The sequence below is a fragment of the Homo sapiens genome, chromosome 3 (assembly GCF_000001405.40).
Source record: "Homo sapiens chromosome 3, GRCh38.p14 Primary Assembly".
Taxonomy (NCBI): Eukaryota; Metazoa; Chordata; class Mammalia; order Primates; family Hominidae; genus Homo; species Homo sapiens.
Window position 1 is genome coordinate 81,094,927 of NC_000003.12, and position 21,217 is coordinate 81,116,143.

The 21,217-nt window shown below is 36.0% G+C and overlaps 1 long non-coding RNA gene across 1 annotated transcript in view; it reads left to right on the plus strand.

Annotated features, from left to right (window-relative positions):
- Positions 1 to 721, plus strand: part of LINC02027 (long intergenic non-protein coding RNA 2027) — a 101,780-nt gene extending 101,059 nt beyond the window's left edge. The window contains exon 2 of the long non-coding RNA NR_132411.1: positions 186 to 721. This is a non-coding gene — a long non-coding RNA (long intergenic non-protein coding RNA 2027). The remainder of the gene's footprint in view (positions 1 to 185) is intronic.
- Positions 722 to 21,217: the final 20,496 nt, after the last annotated feature.

The following is a 21,217-nucleotide window of genomic DNA, read 5'->3' on the forward strand; positions in this document are numbered from 1 at the left end:
GAGGGCCTTGTAGTGACCAGACTGGTACCTTCCATTTTTCTCTTTTAATAGTTGGGTTGCTGATCTCACAAATTATATTTCGGTTGGAAATGAAAGGTCCACCGCTGCCAGCATTTTGTTAGAAATAATGACACACTTTACTACCTGTAAGTGCTGACTGAGTGCTTCTGCCTTTTCTTCCCAAGGTGACTGTAACACAGATTGATGAAAGATTCTGCAGGACGACAAAGGTTAAAGATGTAGACCCGGAGCTAGAAGCCAGCACTGACACTGATGGAGTGGACTGCGATGAGAATGCCCACATTATTGTCCTATCCTCTGATAACCAATGTAATATGAAAACCGACTACAGAAGAAAGGAACAAATTAAATCCATTAATCAAGCATATCTCTGCTAAACAGTTGTTCGAAACTGATGAACAAATGAAAAATTTACTGTTTGTTTTCATGCTTGCAAGGATTGGGGAAGAAAATTAATTATAAGGTACTGGCCACACTATCAGTAAAGTTTTTCTTGAGGAAACTATTGCTTTGTCAAAGGACAAATGAACCTCATTAGGGAGATTAGTTTCAGCTGGTAGTTTTGCATTAGTACAAACTAATAATACACACTTCAAAAGATACCCTGAGTAAGATTATGAAAATTGAAATCCATTTGTTACTTCTTAATTTACTAACTGTTAGAAAATGACCACTCTATTACTTATCATGAAACCAGAAGGAAATCAAACACTGCTCACCTTTCAACTAAGTGCCTGAAAGAGAACTGTTGCAGTGTGGGCTTTGTGAGTGCTGCGATGATGAACTTACGCATACAGGGGTTATAACTTGGCCACGGCATTTTACTCTTAGGTTGAAGCATGTCATGCAGAGCTCCATGCCAAACGCAATTTTTGATAAGCTTCTTTGAAATCCTTTTCTTTTCAAATGTTTTAAATGAATTGGACAAATAGCAAACTGACATCTGATATTCTGAATTCCCCTTAAATCTATACAGAGCAAGAACAGAAAAGAGAAAACGCTACTTTGCTATCAATCCTGTATGGCCAGTGCACTGAGGCTCCTAAGCTGGCCACAGTGAGTGCAGTCCAGCTTCAATGTTCATTGAATCCCTGGCCTTTCTGTCAAGGCAGCTAAGAACAGAGCCAATCACTGCTCTCGGTGACGGGGAGTGCTTGGCTGCAGACACACGTCTTCCAAAACCTGGAGTGAGACCAGTCTCATTCCAAAGAGTGTATAAATCAGCTGTGAAATAATAATGACTTTTTTGGGTTCTACTGACCCGGCCTGGATTCAGACTGCTGACCCAGAAAAGAAAGGCTTCACACATCCCATTAGCAGTCCTTTCAGCCATTGAAGACATCCCCATCCAATTCTGACTTTCTTTCCTTTACAGCAGTCTTGCTCTTTTTTACGGGCATGTAAACCAAATTGACGTTTACTTACTGCTTTTGTTTGGTTCCTTGATGTAACTTCTCTAATTTAACAGCAGCTTTCCAGGCATAGCGTTTGAATGAATCAGGCCAAATAACATTAAAGTTCACTTTCTCAAAGCTTAAACTCTGTTACCGAGAAAAGATGGGGGTAGAGTTTTAAAGTATTCTTCTTAGTATAAAACTAAACGTTTTTCTCTAGACATATTGTCTCGTGATATTTTTAAAAGCCAGCATTATTTTTTTTTCAGGAAAGTTAAGTCAGTCTATAACAGTGATTCCACGGTTTACCCTGTTGTCCTGGAGTGGGTAGGAGCTTTCAGGAGTAGCTAAGGGTTTTCTTTTTCCAAAGTAAGTGTGTCAAGTTGAAAGAAAATTACAGGTTGTGGGACTGAGAAGTTAGATAATATAAGGGCTCTTCTAATGAAAAAAAAAAATCCAAATTTGCAAATACTAAACAGATGTCTTAGTTTGAGTTTTCCGAAGCAAATTCCAAGAGGAGAATATGGGTACAATTTGCTTATATGAGAAGTGATTCCAGAAGCACAACGAAATCATGAAGTGGTGACATGGAGACGGAAGAAAGCCAATAAAAGGGTGGTAAACAATGAGGAATACCACTCTGAGCAATTGGGGCTCAGTCTTGCTGTGGGGCCCTCTGGAAGACATTTTAGATAACGCCTCAGGGTGCCAAACCAGGAGGCAAACACTGGAGTGTATACTACTCCTATTCCTAACAGACTGAGGATTGTTCCTGGGGGTAGTAATTTCCCAGCATTTCCAGCCTTCTCTGTCTTTGCATATGTTCATGGGCAGTGTATATTCCTTAGAAAACCCTAAGGAAGGGAAAGGCTTAGGTGGAAGCCATAGACGTGTACAGGAGCCATCCAGCAAAGCCCCCGTTGAGCTCCAGTGTAAGCTTAGGGTAGAGAAGGATACTAGAAACATGTGACAGCTTCTCCACTAGATATCAAATTGAATATTTAATTAAATAAATCACAACAAATCCCAAATATTAAAAGATGACAAATGTGGTCATTTCATACTCACCAACATGAAGGTCGGTATGACAGAGGAGAAGTCAGGAGAGGTGTGATAACAGGCCTAAATGACTGCTGCCAAGAATCTTATTGTTGCAATAGTAAAATAATAAAGATAATGACAATAATACCTTATGAGCACACTGCTACAGTCTTTCTCAGTGTCTCAAAAGAAATCTGTGTGAGAGCCCCTCAAACGTGGGCTTCAAAAACTTCTTGGTAAATTTCCCATGGCTGCTATTACTGAGTTTCTCTAATATCCTATGTATGTGTAGCTCTGAAATTAAGTTGAATATCATTTTTCAAAGCATTTCTGAACAGCAAGAATAACAACAATGAAAAATAGAAAAATCACTCAAAACATTTATTTTAATATATGCACATACTTATGATAATTGATAAGCCATAATTTTTTACAGCCTGGTTTATTATCCCAGGTGCTACTGACATTTTGAACTAAAAAGTCCTTTGGTCAGAAACAGGGGGGCTGTCCTGTGCATTTTAGGATGTTTACAAATATTAAACAGATGCCCTAGTTTGAGTTTTCCAAAAGGAAACTCCAGGAGGAGAATATGGGCACAATTTGCTTATATGAGAAGTGATTCCAGAAGCACAACAAAGCCATGAAGTGGTGACTTGGAGAAGGAAGACAGCCAATAAAAGGGTCATAAACAATAGGGAATAGGTGACACGGAGAAGGAAGACAGCCAATAAAAGGGTCATAAACAATAGGGAATACTATCCTGAGCAAATTATCCCTGACCTGTCCCCACCAGATACTGATACATGTACCAGTACTACTAGATACACATCTTCCCCAGTTTAAAGAAATAAAAGAAAGTCTCCAAACACTGACAAATGTAAAAAACAACAACAAAAAAACACCTCCTGTTAGAACGACTGATTTAGAACACAGAAAAACTTGCAAACTTAAAAAAGCAGTTCATTTGCTTATACACCTTATGTCTCCCTCTATGCTACTTATGGATTTAGAAAAATTCTCTAATTCAGTCTCTTTTAGTATTCAAACAAGCATAGTATTGTGTAAATGAGAAAATGTTCTTAACGACTAAACCATAAAATATTGTTAAGGATATCAAGAAATGAAGATACTTTAAGGAGCTACCTATCATCCCACATTAATCGACATACCAGAAAACAAAGAATATATCCTATATTTAAACCATTCTAAAAAAGAACCCAGGTATCCTACTAATTATTTAACATTGTAAGTAACAATGGTAAGTTAAGTGCAATGTTTAATATCTCTCTGGTACAATATAAGATTGTTATGATATGTGATATGTATATAAAAAGTATTTAATATGATATTGACTAATAAAAATAGTCTTTTTATCTTCTGCAAAACCATAAGTGTATGGAAAACATTACATTAAGCTTAACTAACATTTAAAAAAACAACTACAGTGGAAGGATCACTGAGCCCGGGAGGCGGAGCTTGCAGTGAGCCAAGATCACACCACTGCATTCCAGCCTGGGAGACAAAGTGAGACCCTGTCCCCTCTAAAAAACAAAAACAAAAAACAAAACTACCGAATTCTATAAAACTTTTCCAAGCTCTTAAAAGTAAGCACTTTTACACAAGATAAACTTTCTGCCCTCAAGAATAAACAATCAAGTGAAGGAAGAAATACAAGTTTGTGGATTATAGCAATATAATTCAATTTTATAGTGCCAAATAATGCTATTTCTCCCTAATAGTATTCTGCGATAAGAGATCCTTGGAGATGTTAAGAGGTGACAAGAAAAAGTTAAATAATTTTACACAATGGAAAGCATATTCTCTTCTCAGAGACATTCACATTGTTATATAAAAGGCTCTGGAAGGTTTGTCAGAAGAAACGTATATTAAAGTTTTTCTAACCCAACATTTTACAAGTAATTTGAGCAGAGAACGATTCTCTCACAACAAGATCAAGATGTGGTGGCTCATTAAATCAGAAATAAATGTATTAAATAATTTAATTTCCACTGAAAGATGAGAATACGCATAAAGAGAGAAATTCGAATTTTAAGTGGACATTATAAAATGGGGAATATTTTGCCGTAGAGGAATGTGGATGGAAACCACCAAAGGTATAAGAAATACCAAGATTAGAAAATGCTGGTCAGGCTGGGCACTGTGGTTCATTCCTGTAATCCCAACACTGGGAGGCCAAGGAGGGATGATCACTTGGGCCCGGAAGTTCAGGATCATCCTGGAAAATATGTCAAGACTTCACCTCTACCAGAAATTTACAAATTAGCTGGGCATGGTAGAATGTACCTGTAGACCTAGCTACTTAGGTGGAAGAATCACTTGAGCCCAGCAGTTCAAGGTGACAGTGAACTACGATCAGGCCACTTGATTCCAGTCTTGGCAACAGGGTAAGACCTTGTCTTTAAAAAAATAAAAAGCAAAAAATAAAATGCTAGTTATATTAGGAAAAAGCCTGACTGAGGTCCAAATGCATGTGGAAGACTGTTTCAGCAAAGGTAACATCCCTCTATGCCACAGCTTGATTGAATTTTAAATAAAGATGATGATAAAATGTACATTTATTAAGGAGATAATTGATGTAATGTGCTCAGTACAAGTTTTGGCATATTACAAGCATTCAATAAACCCTACATCTTATTATCATTAAAATATTAATACATATTGTCTGAGCATCACTACTTTTTTCTGGAAAATAGGGCTATAAATACACTGGAATCCTCACAAAGCTATTACAAATTTCAGGTGGTCTGCTCTATGTAAAAGTGCTGGTAAGTGGAAAGTGCTACCTAAGTGCAAAATGTTACATTTTATTTAAAGTGCTACTTAAGTGAATAATACTATGTTTTATTAGAGTAGTTTGTATTTCTGTCTACAGTTGCTCAATGAGTCAAACTGTTTTCCTCTTTTACCCTGTATTGTTTGGCATGGAAATTCGATTTTCAGCTGTAGGTTTCACTGAAACATCATTTATTGGAAGGGTGTCAAGGTAACTCAGATTTGAAGGAAATGCTGAAGGAACCAGGGACCCTCTGGGAGCCTCACTGAGTATAAACCAGGCCTTTAACCTGGCAAAAACTCTCACCGTCTTTTTCCATCTCATCTCTGCTTCTTAAAGTGGGTCACCTTCATTCATTCAGATTTTCCTTAGAGGCATGGAAACTGGTGTCTCTGAGACTATATTGTCCCAACTCCAGGACCTGAGAGAGGGGATTTCCCTGTGAACTGTGCTTGTAAAACTCTAGGTGAAAGAATTTGACTATCTTTATCACATTTCTATTCTTGTACTGATTCATTCATTCAGTAATATTGTATAAAAACCTAATAATTTCCAGGTCATTTTTTCAGCCTAGCTATATAGAAGTGAGCAAGGAAAAGTGTCTTTCTTTGCCTATTTTAAATTATAATGTGTGAAGTAGAGAACCAGCAAAGAGAAAAGAAAAGAAAATTTAAGTGGAAGTACAGTGAGGAATTTAATACAAAATAGTGTGACATGAAGAGATGGAGTTGAAAGCAGGATGCTTTTAGATAGCCAGAAGAATAGAAGCACTGCGATGGGCCACGCCAGTCCAGTCAGGGTTTTCTGAAAGAGGGTGAATCTGAAATATAAAGTTGTAGTGAAGAAGAAGCAGTTCCCTCAAAGGAAAGGGTGTGGCTATCTCCCAATTTGTAATCCCTAAAGACATGATATTGAGATTTATGGTGTGTCTCTGTGTCCCCACTCAAATCTCATGTCAAATTGTAATCCTTAGGTATCAGGGGAGGGTACTGGTGGGGGTGACTGGATCATGTTGGTGGATTTCCCCCTTGCTGTTCTTGTGATAGTGAGTGAGTTCTCACAAGATTTGATGGTTTAAAACTGTGTGGCACTTCCCCCTTCTTTCTCTCTCTCCTGCTCTGCCATGGTAAGATGGGCTTGCTTCTCCTACACCTTCTGCCATGATTGTAAGTTTCCTGAGGCCTCTCAGTCATGCTCCCTGCAGAACTGTGACTCAGTTAAGCTTCTTTTCTTCATAAATTACCCAGTTTCTGGTAGTTCTTCATAGCAACATGAGAATGGAATAATACATTGAGTAAAGACAACATAGATGTCTACTACATCCTCTCCTTCTGTTTATTTATTTATTTTTTAACTACCTTAGCTGTAAAATTACATGAAATCAGGTTGGGCATGGTGGCTTACGCCTGTAATCCCAGCACTTTGGGAGGCCAAGGTGGGTGGATCACTTCAGATTAGGAGTTCAATACCAGGCTGGTCAACATGGTGAAACCTCATCTCTACTAAACAATACAAAAATTAGCTGGGCATGGTGGTGCACACCTGTAGTCCCAGCTACTGGGAGGCTGAGGCGGGAGAATCACCTGAATCCAGGAGGCGGAGGTTGCAGTAAGCTGAGATTGCGCTACTGCACTCCACCTTGGCAACAGTGTGTAACTCCGTCTCAAAAAATAAAATAATAAAATAAAATAAAATTATGTGAATTCAAGTTTTGGATAAGAAGTGATTTAAAAAGTCACTTTATAGATGGCCTCTTAGCCATCATAACTAGAGATTGCATCTACAGAAAATGTTGCTTAAGCATTTGGTAATTTAGTAGATTATAGAACAATTCTAACACTTCAAACCTTTTATTCAGGAAGTAATAAAATTGTTAAACAATAATCCTGAGAAGTCACTGGAAGTTGTGGAAAAAAGTACATTCTCTAAAAATGTATGACAAAATAATATATAATGTATTTGTTGGAACATATTTATTGCATAACTAAAAATGTGAAACTAAGCCTTGTGATAATGACCGCAATAGTAAAAAATTAATCTAATGATCAACTCATATTCAAATTTAGCCAATAATATTACCAGTTACTTTGTACAAAACTTTTGAGGTTGCCAATAAACTAATTTTATATTTAACGTTTATTTTTGGAAATGTTTTATCTTTCTATCAATGGAGTTGCTAAAGTTTGAAAACGGCAGAAAAAGTACAAAGAGAAATAATCATTTCCTCCTCTGTGCTGCCTCTGATCTCATACACATGATTTTAATGTGTTTTTATTTGTTTACAGTTCTGTCTCTCCTACTGGCCTGGATGTTCATTAGAGCTGGTACTATTTACGTTCAATTTTTTATCTCTAATGCTGAGTTTAGTAATGCTTGACACATCATCACTGGTTAATTAATATTTATTAAATAAATAAATGAGCCCATAACCCTGAAGGACTTTGGTAACATTATCTTCTTCTCTTTACCAGTTGGGGACTATTGGAATAAAATTGAATGATGTGAACAGGAATGAGGTAATTGATTTACATTGTTCAAAATCTATTGCAGAAAAGTGATAACCAAAAAGAAAATTGAATTCTTTTTCCAACTTTAAGTAGGAAATCAAGGGAGCAAAGGGATGTCTTCAATTCCTTCTGTTACGTGGGAGTCTTTGAAAAGGGTTTTTTCCCTTTTGTGGCTTCAGCTAAAATGTTTCGCCTTACAGAAACAGACTAGATGGTGCAAACTGGTGATTACTTATTTCAGTTTTGAGCATAATGTTGAAAGAGCCATAAAATTGTTTCCCTTCATCAGGGGTGTAATGTGGCAAGTACAGGGGTAGCCATGCAAACTCAGTCCAACCTTTGTAGCCATTTAATTGGATGCTATTGGGTGCTGTCTCTGTGGACCATTTCCCATAAGGAAAGGAATCTTTTCTGTGACCTCCAATGCAATCAAAACTATTTGGCTTAATTTTATCTTCTCCAGAAGAACAGATCCAAAGAAAAATTACAAAAGAAATGTAATAGCACTTTTATTCCTTTCTGCTGGAGGGATTTGCAATGTGACTATTTTAAAACTTACTATTTTGCAAAAGCCAATTTTCTTCAAGAGGCCGTTAGCACTCAAATCAGCAGCACAATAAACTTACCAGAATCAGACTATGTTGAATGACGAAAAAAATTGTTGCAATTTTATAAAGCAGAATGACTTGCTTTGTGATATTATTTATTTATTTTACTATACAATACATGTTAGAATTAAGATGAAATGGGTGTTTCTGGTTTAAGGTCAATGCATACTACATAGTTTGGTGAACCTCGAAGCAGGCACTTCATTATATTTCTTAGAAAAGGCAGTGTCATAAGAGGTAACCACTTGACACCTAAGCCTGACAACTTAATTCAAATCTCAGATCTGTCACTTATTTTTGTAACTTATCTTTGCCTTACTACTTTTCTTGGTAAAATTAGATTAATGTGTGTGTTTATATATAAATATACATATACTATGACACAGGCCATTATATATGTATGTGTGTATATGTGTGTGTGTGTCTGTGTACATGCACCAATATGTCAACCCCAATTATGTTTTCAGGAACTGGTAAATATACACCAAATTGGCCCAGAGAACCACTGGACCCACTGGACTTTGGCAAATATTGGGCATTCACGAACTCAGTTGGCCCATTTGTCTTCCATTCTCCGTATAGCTCCATTCTTTTATTATTATTATACTTTGAGTTCTGGGGTACATGTGCAGAACATGCAGGTTTGTTACATAGGTGTACACGTGCCATGGTGGTTTGCTGCACCCATCAACCCGTCATCTACATTAGATATTTTTCCTAATGCTATCCCTCCCCTAGCCTCCCAACCCCCGACAGGCCCCCTTATGTGATGTTCCCCTCCCTGTGTCCATGTGTTATCATTGTTCAACTCCCACTTATGAGTGAGAACATGCAGTGTTTGGTTTTTTGTCTCTGTGTTTGTTTGCTGACGCTAGAAGAATGCCATTCAGGACATAGGCATGGGCAGAGACTTCATGACAAAACACCAAAAGCAATGGAAACGAAGCCAAAATTGACAAATGGGATCTAATTAAACTAAAGAGCTTCTGCACAGCAAAACAAACTATCATCAGAGTGAATAGGCAACCTACAGAATGGGAGAAAATTTTTGCAATCTACCCATCTGACAAAGGGCTAATATCCAGAATCTACAAAGAACTTAAACAAATTTACAAGAAAAGACAAACAACAACATCAAAAATGAGAGAAGGATATGAACAGACATTTCTCAAAAGAAGACATTTATGCAGCCAATAAACATATGAAATAAAGCTCATCATCACTAATCATTAGAGAAATGCAAATGAAAACCACAATGAGATATCATCTCATGCCAGTTAGAATGGCGATCATATAGCTCCATTCTAAGAGGAGGGGCCATAAAAACTCTTCAGGTGTTCAGGTATCCATGTCAACTCACATTCTCTGTGTAATAATTCTTTGAATATATAAGCATGCTGATTTTCTCAATGAGCAGTCACCTTAGAAAACTTTCACCATGGCTTTGACAATTACCAGTCTCCTTGATCATGAGCTTATAGTTCCTTACCCTTGCCTCAAATAACTGCTTATTAAGGTGTAACAAAAATGTGCTTCATTCTTTGTTTCCCCTCAACTCCAGAATCATGGCTACCTCTTCTTGCTTTTCACTCTCTTTCCTTTCTTGATTTCAGGCTTGTATGTATTTCAAGCATCTACCCCAACCCTTCCCCCATATTTTGCTCCTAAACATTATTTTAGCTTCCCAATTCTGGCTTTCTCACTGACACTATGATGCTCCTTTGTTCATGCTTTCTGTTCCAACTAGCCTTCCCAGCAAGAATATCCCACAGCTTCACAGCTGAAATTCCCACTCGTTTTACACTTTCAAACTCTCTAATCTTCCCTTCCCACGGTTGAACTTATTATTTCTCTGAAGTATCAATAAACATTTACTTCTTAATTAACCAAACTAATTTTGTAATTGTGTTTACATTTGATTTTATAAAAGACACGGTCACCTATATTATTGTTTTCTTACTATCATCTTCTAAATTGATTAAGATTATCTTCACCACCTACTTTTTTGTTTTTGTTCTGGCTGCCAAAACAAAAAATGACTCAAAATTTGAAACACTGTAACACATTAGCACATCCCCTTAGAAATACATGACATTTCATTCTAACTACTCATTCTACTTAAATATTTTACGCCCTAGGATACTCCACTGTGTCCTATCTCATATCTTTATGGTTTTCTGACACTTTATTGATAACATAATATTCACATAACAAACAGGTTTAGCATTCTGATATCTTCCTTTTGAATTAAACTCTTTATCATTATGAAATTCCTCTCTTTAGATCTAGTTATAAGTTATGACTGGGTTCTATTTTGGTAAGACTGGAAACTTCTGGCTTACTGCTGTTCCTAAGGTGTTGCCTTCTTTCTGGGGCTTTTAAATAAGGATCTTTGTCACCTCATCACTGCAAGATTACAGGATATATTGAATTCTGCCTGTTAGAAGATTTTAGCTCACTTTTTAATATTTAACCGCACACTGCTTCAAATTTTGACAAATGCCTTGAGGTAAAGAATAGACATGTTTGTAAAGACTCCAATATGTCACCTTAGCCCCGCATGAGAAGCAAAATGCCTCATGGTTTCCTGTCCCTCATTAGTGTACGTTTTTTTGTTTGTTTTGTTTTGTTTTTTTAGGCACAATTCCTGAATTCTCAAGCTCTGACTAACTCTAGTCACTTGTAAATGATAAGTGTTCACATGTAGAAAATAGAAAATAGCTGTATATCCCCACTGTCAATGCACCACTTCCTTTAATGCCATTGTGTACAGCCTCTTTTGTTGTTTCCTTACCCTAGATGGATGGGTCTCCGTTTCTAAGTACTGTGAGCTGTGGGCCACTTAACTTATTCAGAATTCAGAAAACAAGCCACATATTCAAGGCCCCTAAGTCTCCAATTTTGTTACTTTAGCAACCTTTGCCACCACTAAAAGTTCTGTGATTTAGCTTTTGGCCCAGCAGGAGCTCATGGCCTGGTGTATGCCCACATCTGCAGCCACACCCAGGACCAGCAAATGCATACAGGGAAAAATAACAGCTGCCAATTGTCATATTCCCTCTGAACAGTTCTCTGTTCTCTGTTCTCTGGAGGTTCTGTTAGTCCTCATTACTTCCACGGCTCTTGTATGCTTTTTAAAATGCAATTTTCGCAACTCATCCTGTTTCTCTAGCAGTTGTCAGAGGAAGCATTGTCCTGACATTACCAACTACACCTAACTCAAAAGCAAGATTTTTGTTTTGTTTTAATCTTCAATTTCTCCCTCTTGGCCACTAGTTTTCTTCTCTGTAAGTTGAAAGTTCTATCCAATCCTACTTAATACAACTTTCAACACTTATGAAAAAAATACTGTCTTTCTGGCAAGGCTCACCTTGAGTTTGTTTGTCCTAAACATGGAATCAGTTGTTCCACTGCGAATCCTGATTCCTGTTAGTGAAGAATAGCATTAGAGAATTAGGGGCTGAAATCTTGGCATTAAGATTGTATTTCAGATTGTTTCTTGTGACAGCTAAGTAAATGCAACCTGAAATGAGTTATAAAAGGTTATCCGTGAAAAAAAATGATGAGTTCATGTTGACACTTCTATCATGATACAAATATTGCTGCAATAATAGCATATTAACTTATTAACCATTTTTAATAAAATGTGATACACTATTTTATGATATCATTATAGACTTTACCAGATTGTTAACTTCCACTTCTATTTTTCTTTTAACTCGTAGAAGAAGTGTCCAGTCATGGGTTATAAAGTAAGAAAGTCCATTAAGTAACCATTATCAAAATCATTTTAACACCAACTTTCCAGAAAATATAAAAACCTCTTAGCTTTTCTCTGAAAACTGACAAATTCAGTAGCCTAGATATGGCTAGACTGATATGGCTTGGCTGTGTCCCCATCCAAATCTCATCTTGACTTTGCACGTGTTGTGGGAGGGACCCAGTAGGAGGTAACTGAGTCATGGGAGCAGGTCTTTGCTGTGCTGTTCTCATGATAGTGAACAAGCCTCGAGAGATCTGATGCTTCTATAAAGGGAGTTCCCCTGCAGAAGCTCTCTTTTTGCCTGTGGTCCTCCATGTAAGATGTGACTTGCTCTTAGGACAAAAACCTAAGGCATGCAGGGCTGAAAACCTAGATGAAGGGTTGACAGGTGCCACAAACCACTTTGGCATATGTATACCTATGTAACAAACCTGCATGTTCTGCACATGTATCCTGGAACTTAAAAGTAAAAGTAAAATAAAATAAAGACGTGACTTGTTCCTCCTTGCCTTCCACCATGATTGTGAGGCCTCCCCAGTCATGTGGAACTGTAAGTCCATTAAACCTCTTTTTTTTTTTCGCAGCCTTGGGTATGTCTTTATCAACTGTCTGAAAACAGACTAATACAGAGACATATATTTCAGATAAAGGCACAAGCAATTAGGAGCAAAGAAAAGTATAACACAGATTGTATTAGTTCTCACATGGCTATAAAGATACTACCCAAGACTGGGTAATTTACAAAGGAAAGAGATTTAATTGAATCACGGTTCCTCATGGCTGAGGAGGCCTCAGGAAACTTACAATCATGGTGGAAGGGGAAGGAGGCACCTTCTTCACAAGGTGGCAGGACAGCAAAGAGAAGGTGAAGTGGAAAGTTCCTTATAAAACCATCAGATTTCATGAGAGCTCACTCACGATTACAAGAACAGCATGGGGGAAACTGCCCCCATGATCCAGTCACCTCCCACTGGGTCCCTCCCTTGACACATGGGGATTACAATTCAAGATGAGATCTGGGCGGGGACAGAGAGCCAAACCATATCACAGACCAATATAATATTTTGCTTTGTTTTAATCCAAAACTCACCTTCTCTTTGTGGCATTAATGTCATGTAGTTAATTGCTCTGATATAAAAAGATATTGAGCATTTTTTAAAATTTTTTGAGATGGAGTCTTGCTCTGTTGCCCAGGCTGGGGTGCAGTAGCAGGATCTTTGCTCACTGCAACCTCCACCTCCCAGGTTCAAGCAATTCTCCTGCCTCGGCCTCATGGGTAGCTGGGACTACAGGCATGCACCAACAGGCCCAGCTAATCTTTGTATTTTTAGTAGAGATGGGATTTCACCATGTTGACCAGTCTGGTCGCGAACTCCTGACCTCATTTAGTTATTTCCTCAGGTAAGTCAAATTGTTATAACCCATACTTAGTTCCCTAGATAAAGCTCCCCAAGTGCCATAGACTGCAAAGCAATCTCCCTAAGTATTTACCTTTCAAAAGAAGACATGGGAAATATTTCTAGGTCATAAAATCCAGGGACACCAGGTATTTATTTGTCCCTAGGAAAGGCATATTTATGTTCCAAAAATTTAGTGTGAGAACTCAGTCTCTTCCCCATTCAATTTTTAAGAACCAAAACTGTTTTCCATACTTTTGGGAGGAGTGAGGTTGATGGTCTATCTACTGTACATAAACAGAAAAATTCATGTTTTGTCACTCATCAGTGAAATATCTGGCCACTCTTGTAAGAAAATTTTCTACCTGGTTTTCATCATGTTACTACAGGGGTTAGTTATTTCATCAGTGTTTGATAATTTTCAGTATACAGATTTTTCACTTTCTTGGTTAAATTTATTCTTAACTATTTTGTTATTTGTAATGCTATTATAAGTGGAATTGTTTTCTTAATTTTTTCTGAGAATTTATTGTTAGTGCGTACAAATGCAACTAATTTCTGTATATTAATTTTGTCTTCTGAAACTTTACTAAATTTCTTTATTAGTTCTAACAGATTTTTGGAGGAGTCTTTAGGGTTTTCTATATAAAAAATCATATTGTCTGTAGACAGAGACAATTTTACTTCTTATCTGATTTGGATACCTTTTATGTCTTTTTATTAACTAATTGCTCTTGCTAGGACTTTCACCACTTTGTGGAACAAAAGTGGTGAGACTGAGCACTCTTGCCCTGTTCCTAATTTTAGGAGAAAGCTTTCAGCATTTCACCATGGAGAATGACATTGGCTGTGGGCTTGTCATATATGGCTTTCATTGCGTTGATATACATTAATTCTACATCTAATTTGTTAGGAGTTTTTAATCATGAAATATTGTTGAATTATGTCAAATCCTTTTGCTACATCTATTGAGATAATCACGTGATTTCTATCATGTATTCTTTCAGTGTAGTATATCACATTTTATTGATCTGTGTATGTTAAACCTACCTTGCATACCAGGAATAACTCTCACTAGATTGTAGCATCTGATCCTCACAATATGCTGTTGAACTAGGTTTGATAGTATTTTATTGAGGATTTTTGCCTCTGTGTTCATGAGGGATATTGCCCTGTGTTATCTTTTCTTGTAGTCTTCTTATCTGAGTTTGGTTTAAGAGTAATGTTTGGCAGTGCCCCCCCCTTTCCAATTATTTGGAAGATATTGAGAAAGATTAGCTTCAATTTTTCTTTTAATGCTTGATACAATTTACCCATGAAGTGATGTGGTCCTTTGCTTCTCATTTTTGGGGAGTTTTAGATTACTGTTAAATATCCTTACTCATTATTGGTCTGAAGGTTTTTCTATTACTTCATAATTCATTCTTGGTAGGTTATATGTTTCTAGACATTTATTCTTGTCTTCTAAATTATCCAATTTCTTGGTATATAATTGTTTATAGTCATCTCTCATGATGTTAAAAAATTTCTGTGGTATTAATAATAATGTCTCTCTTTCATTTATAATTTTATTTATCTGAGTCCTCTTTCCATTTTTCTTGGTAATTCTAAAAAGCAGATTTATAAATTTTATTATTTTTCCAACACTCAGTCACATTGATATTTCTATTATTTTTCTAGTCTCTTTTTTATTTATTTCCATTTTAATATTTATTAGATAAGTCTCACCTCATCTTTAAACTAATACTGGCATATTCCCCTAAAGAAAATTATGTTGGGGGTGAGAAAAATCAATCAATATATTAGTTGTAATGCCTTGAGACCATTCTAAATTATTATATATAGTAATACCATAAATGAAGATCATTTTAATTATCAACTTCTCAAACATGGATAATAAAAATAGTTACATATTCTACCTGATTTAGCATCACATAGACATTTAAAATCTATTTAACAGAACCAGAGTTTTCTTTGTCTGCACCTTATTCATTTTTTATTGTAAATTAAGTATGACTATTGTTACTTTCATTCATGAGTATAAAATGCACTGGTAAAAATAAGTATGAAGCCAAATTTAGAATAATTTAATATTATCATGATGACGTTAAATTACTTATATCTTTAGTGAGAAGGTAAAAAGACAAAACTATTAAAAATAATAGTAGATAAAATAATTTGTTAAGAGATACAAAATATAAAAAGATGAAAACTATGACATCAAAAACATAAAATGTTGGAGGAACGGATGGAGTAAAAGTGTTGATTATTTTATGCAATCAAAGTTAAGTTGTTATTGGTGTAAAGCCCCCTGTTTTTAGTATAGCATGTTTTATGTAAGCCTCATGGTAACCACAAAGCAAAAACCTATAGTATATGCACAAAAGATAAAAAGTAAAAATCATAGAACTCTACTAGACAAAAATTAATCTCAAAGGAAGACAGCAAGAGAGGAATAAAGGACATACAAAATAACCAGGAAGAAAATAACAAATGCAGTAGTAAGTTCTTATCTATCAATAATTATCTTGACTATAAATGGATAAATTCTCCAATCAAAGACAGAGTAGATAAATGGATTTTTAAAAAGATCCAAGTATATGCTAACTGCTAGAGACTCATTATCTATAAGGATACATGGAGATTGAAAATAAAAGGATACGAATGCTATTCCATGCAAATGTAGACCAAAAAGAGCAGGGGCAAATATATGTATAATATGTAAAGTAAACTTTAAGTCAAAACTATAAAGTAAATTAGATAATTCTATTTTGATAAAGGACTCAATTGATCAAGAGAATAAGACAATTGCCAATATATGTCCAAAGCATCAGAGCACTTAAATATGTATAGCAAATATTAATAGAACTGAAGGGAAAATAGACTGTAACACAATAGTAGAATGGGATTTCAGTACTACAGTTTTAGCAGTGTACAAACCTTCCACACAGATAATTGATAAGGAAACGTTACACATAAATTACACTTTAAATAGACTTAACATACATACAGAACTTTTCATCCAACAGTAGCAGAATGCACATTCTTCTTAAGCACACATGGAACATTTTTCAGAAAAGATCCTATGTTAGGCCACAAAACAATTCTTTTAATACAAAACAGGTTTTTAATAAAAAAGTTAACAACATGCTGTGAAATGACCAATAGGTCGAAGAACAAATTGAAAGAAAATTATAACAATATTTTGAGATAAATTAAAATGGACATACAACATACCAAAACTTATGGGATGCAGCATAATCTGTTCTAAGAGAGAGGTTTATAGCAATAAATGCCTACATCAAATACAAAGAAAGATCTCAAATAAAAAGCCTACCTTACATTTCAAGAAATTTAAAAAATGAATAACCTAAACCTACAGTTAGTACAAGAAAGAAATAATAAGGATCAGAGAAGACACAGATGAAATAGAGACCAGAAAACAATAGAAAGATCAGTAAAACTAAAGTTGTGTCTCTTGAAAGATAAACAACAAAGAAATTTAGCTACACCCCCCAAAAAGAGAAAATACTCTAATAAACCACAAATAAAAGTAAAAACATTAAAACTCCTACATGGAAACAAAGAAATCGTAGGAGACTACTATGAACAATTATATGACAATATATTGGATAACCTGGAATAAATTGATAAATTTCTAGAAATTTACAACCTACCCAGACTGAATCATAAAGGAGAAGGTCTGAAAAGACTAATAATGAATAAGGAGATAGTATCAGTAATAAAAAATCTCCCATCTAAGATGAGAGTGATTCCCAAGACCTGATGGCATCTCTGATTTCTATCAAAAATATAAAGAACTAGCACAACCAAACCTCAAACTCTTCCAAAACTGAAGGAAAGAAAATACTTCCAAACTCATTTTACAAAGCCAGAACTACCTACTGATACCAAAGTCAACTTAGGGGCACTCTGAGAAAAGAAAGTAACAGGCCAATGCCTGTGATCAACATAGATGCAAAAATTCCCAACAGAATACTAGCAAACCAAATTTAATGACATATTAAAAGAATCATGCACCATAACCAGGTGTGATTTACCCCATGGATTCAAGGTTGACATAACACAGGCAAATCTAAAAATGCAAGACACCACATTAACAGAATGAAGGACAAAAACCATATGATCACCTTAATAGATGCATCAAAATAATTTGACAAAATTCATCATCTTTTTGTGATAAAACTCTCAAAAAATTAAGTATGAAAGGAGTGTACCTAAACACAAAAATTCCATAAGTAACAAGCCCACAGCTAACATCACACTCAAATGACTCAAATGTTATACGCCAGCAAAGAACTATGTGAATTAGAAATAAAGAAATCATCTTACTTAAAATAGCTACAAAGATAAAATAAAGGCCAGGCACGGTGGCATACAACTGTAATCCTAGCACTTTGGGAGGCTGAGGCTGGTGGATCACGAGGTCAGGAGTTCAAGACCAGCCTGGCCACGATGGTGAAACCCCATCTCTACTAAAAATGCAAAGAAATTACCTGGGTGTGGTGGTGAACGCCTGTAATCCCAGCTATTCGGGAGGCTGAGGCAGAGAATTGCTTGAACCCAGGAGGCAGAGATTACGATGAGCTGAGATCCTGCCACTGCAGTTAAGCCAACCTGGGGGGTGGAGGTTGCAGTGAGCCGAAATCGTGCCACTGCACTTCAGCCTGGGTGACAAAGTGAGACTCTGTCTAAAAATAAATAAATAAATTAATTAATTAAATAAAATACTTAGGTATCAATTTAACCGAGGAGTTGAAAGATCTGTACACTGAAAACTATGAAACACTGATGAAAAAATTTGAAGAAGACATAAATATTTGGGAAGATATTCAGTTCTTATGGATTAGAAGAAGAGATATTGTTAAAATGGCCTACTAAAAAAAATGCAGACACAGATACAATGCAATCCTTGTCACAATTCCAATGACATTTTTTATAAAAATAGAAAAAAATCCTAAAATTTGTGTGGCACCACAGAGAACACCAAATAGCCAAATAAATCTACAGCAAAAAGAACAAAGCTAGAGGCATCACACTACCTAACTTTAAAATATATTACAAAGCTGTAGTAATCAAAACCACATATTACTGGCATAAAAGCAGATATAGAGAACAAATGAAACAAAAGAGCCCAGAAATGTGCTTGTACAATTATGGATATCTTAGTGTGTTTTAGGCTGCTATAATAGAATACTACATATTGGGTAATTTATAATGAGCAGAAATTTAAGGACTGGAAAATTTATAATTAAAGGGCCACATCTGGTGAGAGTCTTGTTGCTTCATCATACCATGGTGGAAGGCATAACATGTTGACAGAGGGCACTCAAAAGAACAAGACAGGGCCAAACTCACCTTTATAGCAAACCCACTATCACAATAGTAAATCCACTCCTACAATAATGATAATAATCACCTCTCAAAAGTTGCCCCATCTAAACAATGTCATATTAGAGATTAAGTTTCTGACACATAAATTTTGTGGACACATTCAAACCATAACAACAGTCAACTATTTTTCAACAAAGGTGCCAAGAATGCAATGGAGAAAAGACAGCATTTAACAAATGATGTTAAGAAAACTGGATATCCACATGCACATGAATAAAATTAGACCCTTATCTCACAACACATACAAAAAATCAACTTAGAGTGAGTTATATACTTAGAAGTAACACGTAAAAGTGTAAAATTACTGGAAGAAAACATGGGGGGAACTCTGTGACATTAGTCTGGTCAATGAAATTTCGATATGATCCCAAAAGCACTGACAACATAAGCAAAAAAAAAAAAAAAAGACAAATAATATTACATCGAACTACAAAGCTTCATCACAGCAAAAGACACAATCAACAGAACAAAGAGACAACCTATGTAAAATGAGAAAATATTTGCAAACCATACATCTGATAAGAGGTTAATATCCAAAATATGTAAAAAAAAAAACCTCGAACAACTCAAAATCAAGTAAACAGATAACCTGATTTAAAAACTGACAAAAAAATAGACATTTTTCAAAAAAAGACATATCAATGATCAACAGATATACAAAAAAATGCTCAATATTACTATTCATCAGAGAAATGCAAAATATAACCACAATGAGGTAAGTATCTTACACTTGTTAGAATGGCTATTATCAAAAAGACAAAAGATAATAAGTATTGGCAATGATTTCGGAAAAAGAGAACACTCATACACTGTTGGTGAGAATGCAAATTATACAGCCATTATGAAAACAGTTTGGAGATTCCTCAAAGGATAGAAACCAGAACTATCATACTGTCCAGCAATCCCACTTCTGGGTATATGTTCCAGTTTGAATGTTTGCCCCCTCCCAAACTCATGTTGAAATTTAATTGCCATTGTATTAGAATAATGAAGTAGTAGAAACTTTAAGAGTTGATTAGGCCACTTGGAAGCTCCACTCTCATCAGTGGGATTGGTGTCATTATAAGAGGGTGAGTTCAGCCCCTTCTTGCTCTCCCTTGCCCTTTTATATTTTGTCATGGGATGATGCAGCAAGTAGGCCCTTACTAGAGGCTGGCAACCAGATATTGGACTTGCCTGCCTCCAAAACTGAGCCAATACATTTTGTTCATTATGAGTTACTCAGTCTCAGGTATTCTGTTACAGCAGCACAAATGGACTAGGACAGTAAAATGGTAACAAAAATTTCATTATAGTGTTGCTATAATGAATACCTAAAACTGTGGAAGGGGCTTTGGAACAAAGTAAGAGATAGAGATTGGAGCAGTTTTGAAGTTAATGCTAGAAAAATTCTGTATTGTCATGAAGAGAGCATTACAGATATTCCAATGAGAAACAAGAAGAAGAGAAGAGTTGTAGGAAAACTTGGAAACTTCTTAGAGATTAGTGGTTTGTGATCCAAACGTTGGTACAAATATGGACAGTAAAGGCAATCCTGACGAGGTCTCCGATAGAAATGAGGAGCAGCATATTGGAAACTAAGTAAAATCCATTCTTGTTGTAAAGCGGCCAATAACGTGAATGAATTGTGTCAATACCTAAGGCCTTCATGGAAGACAAAATTCAAGAGTGATGAACTAGGATATCTAACTAAAGAAACTTTTAAGCTGCAAAGCATTGAAGAAACCGTATGGCTAATTAATCACATAAAGTAAAATTTGAGAAGAGAAAAGTGATTTAAAGATTGTATTAGCTCATTCTCGCACTGCTATAAAGAACTACCTGAGACTGTGAAATTTATGAAGAGAAGATGTTTAACTGACCCACAGTTCTGCAGCCTTAACAGGAAGCATGACTAGGAGGTCTCAGGAAACTTACAATCATGATGGAAGGCAAAGGGGAAAAAAAGCATGTCTTCTGCATGTCTTCACATAGTTCCAGAAGGTGCAGGAGGTGGGGGTGGGGCGGGCGAGAATGCTACACACTTTTAAACAAGGAGATCTTGTGAGAAGTCACTGACTATTACGAGAACAGGAAGGGGGAAATCCACCCTCCCATAATCCAGTGACCTCCCACCAGGCCCCTCCTTCAACAGTGGGAATTAGTTTGACATGAGATTTGAGTGTGGACACAGAGCCAAACCATATCAAAGATGTAATATAAAATTAAAAGAGAATTAAAATGTAAAAATTTGAAACATTACCAGCCATGTCAAGGACAAAAAAAATGCTGTGTGGG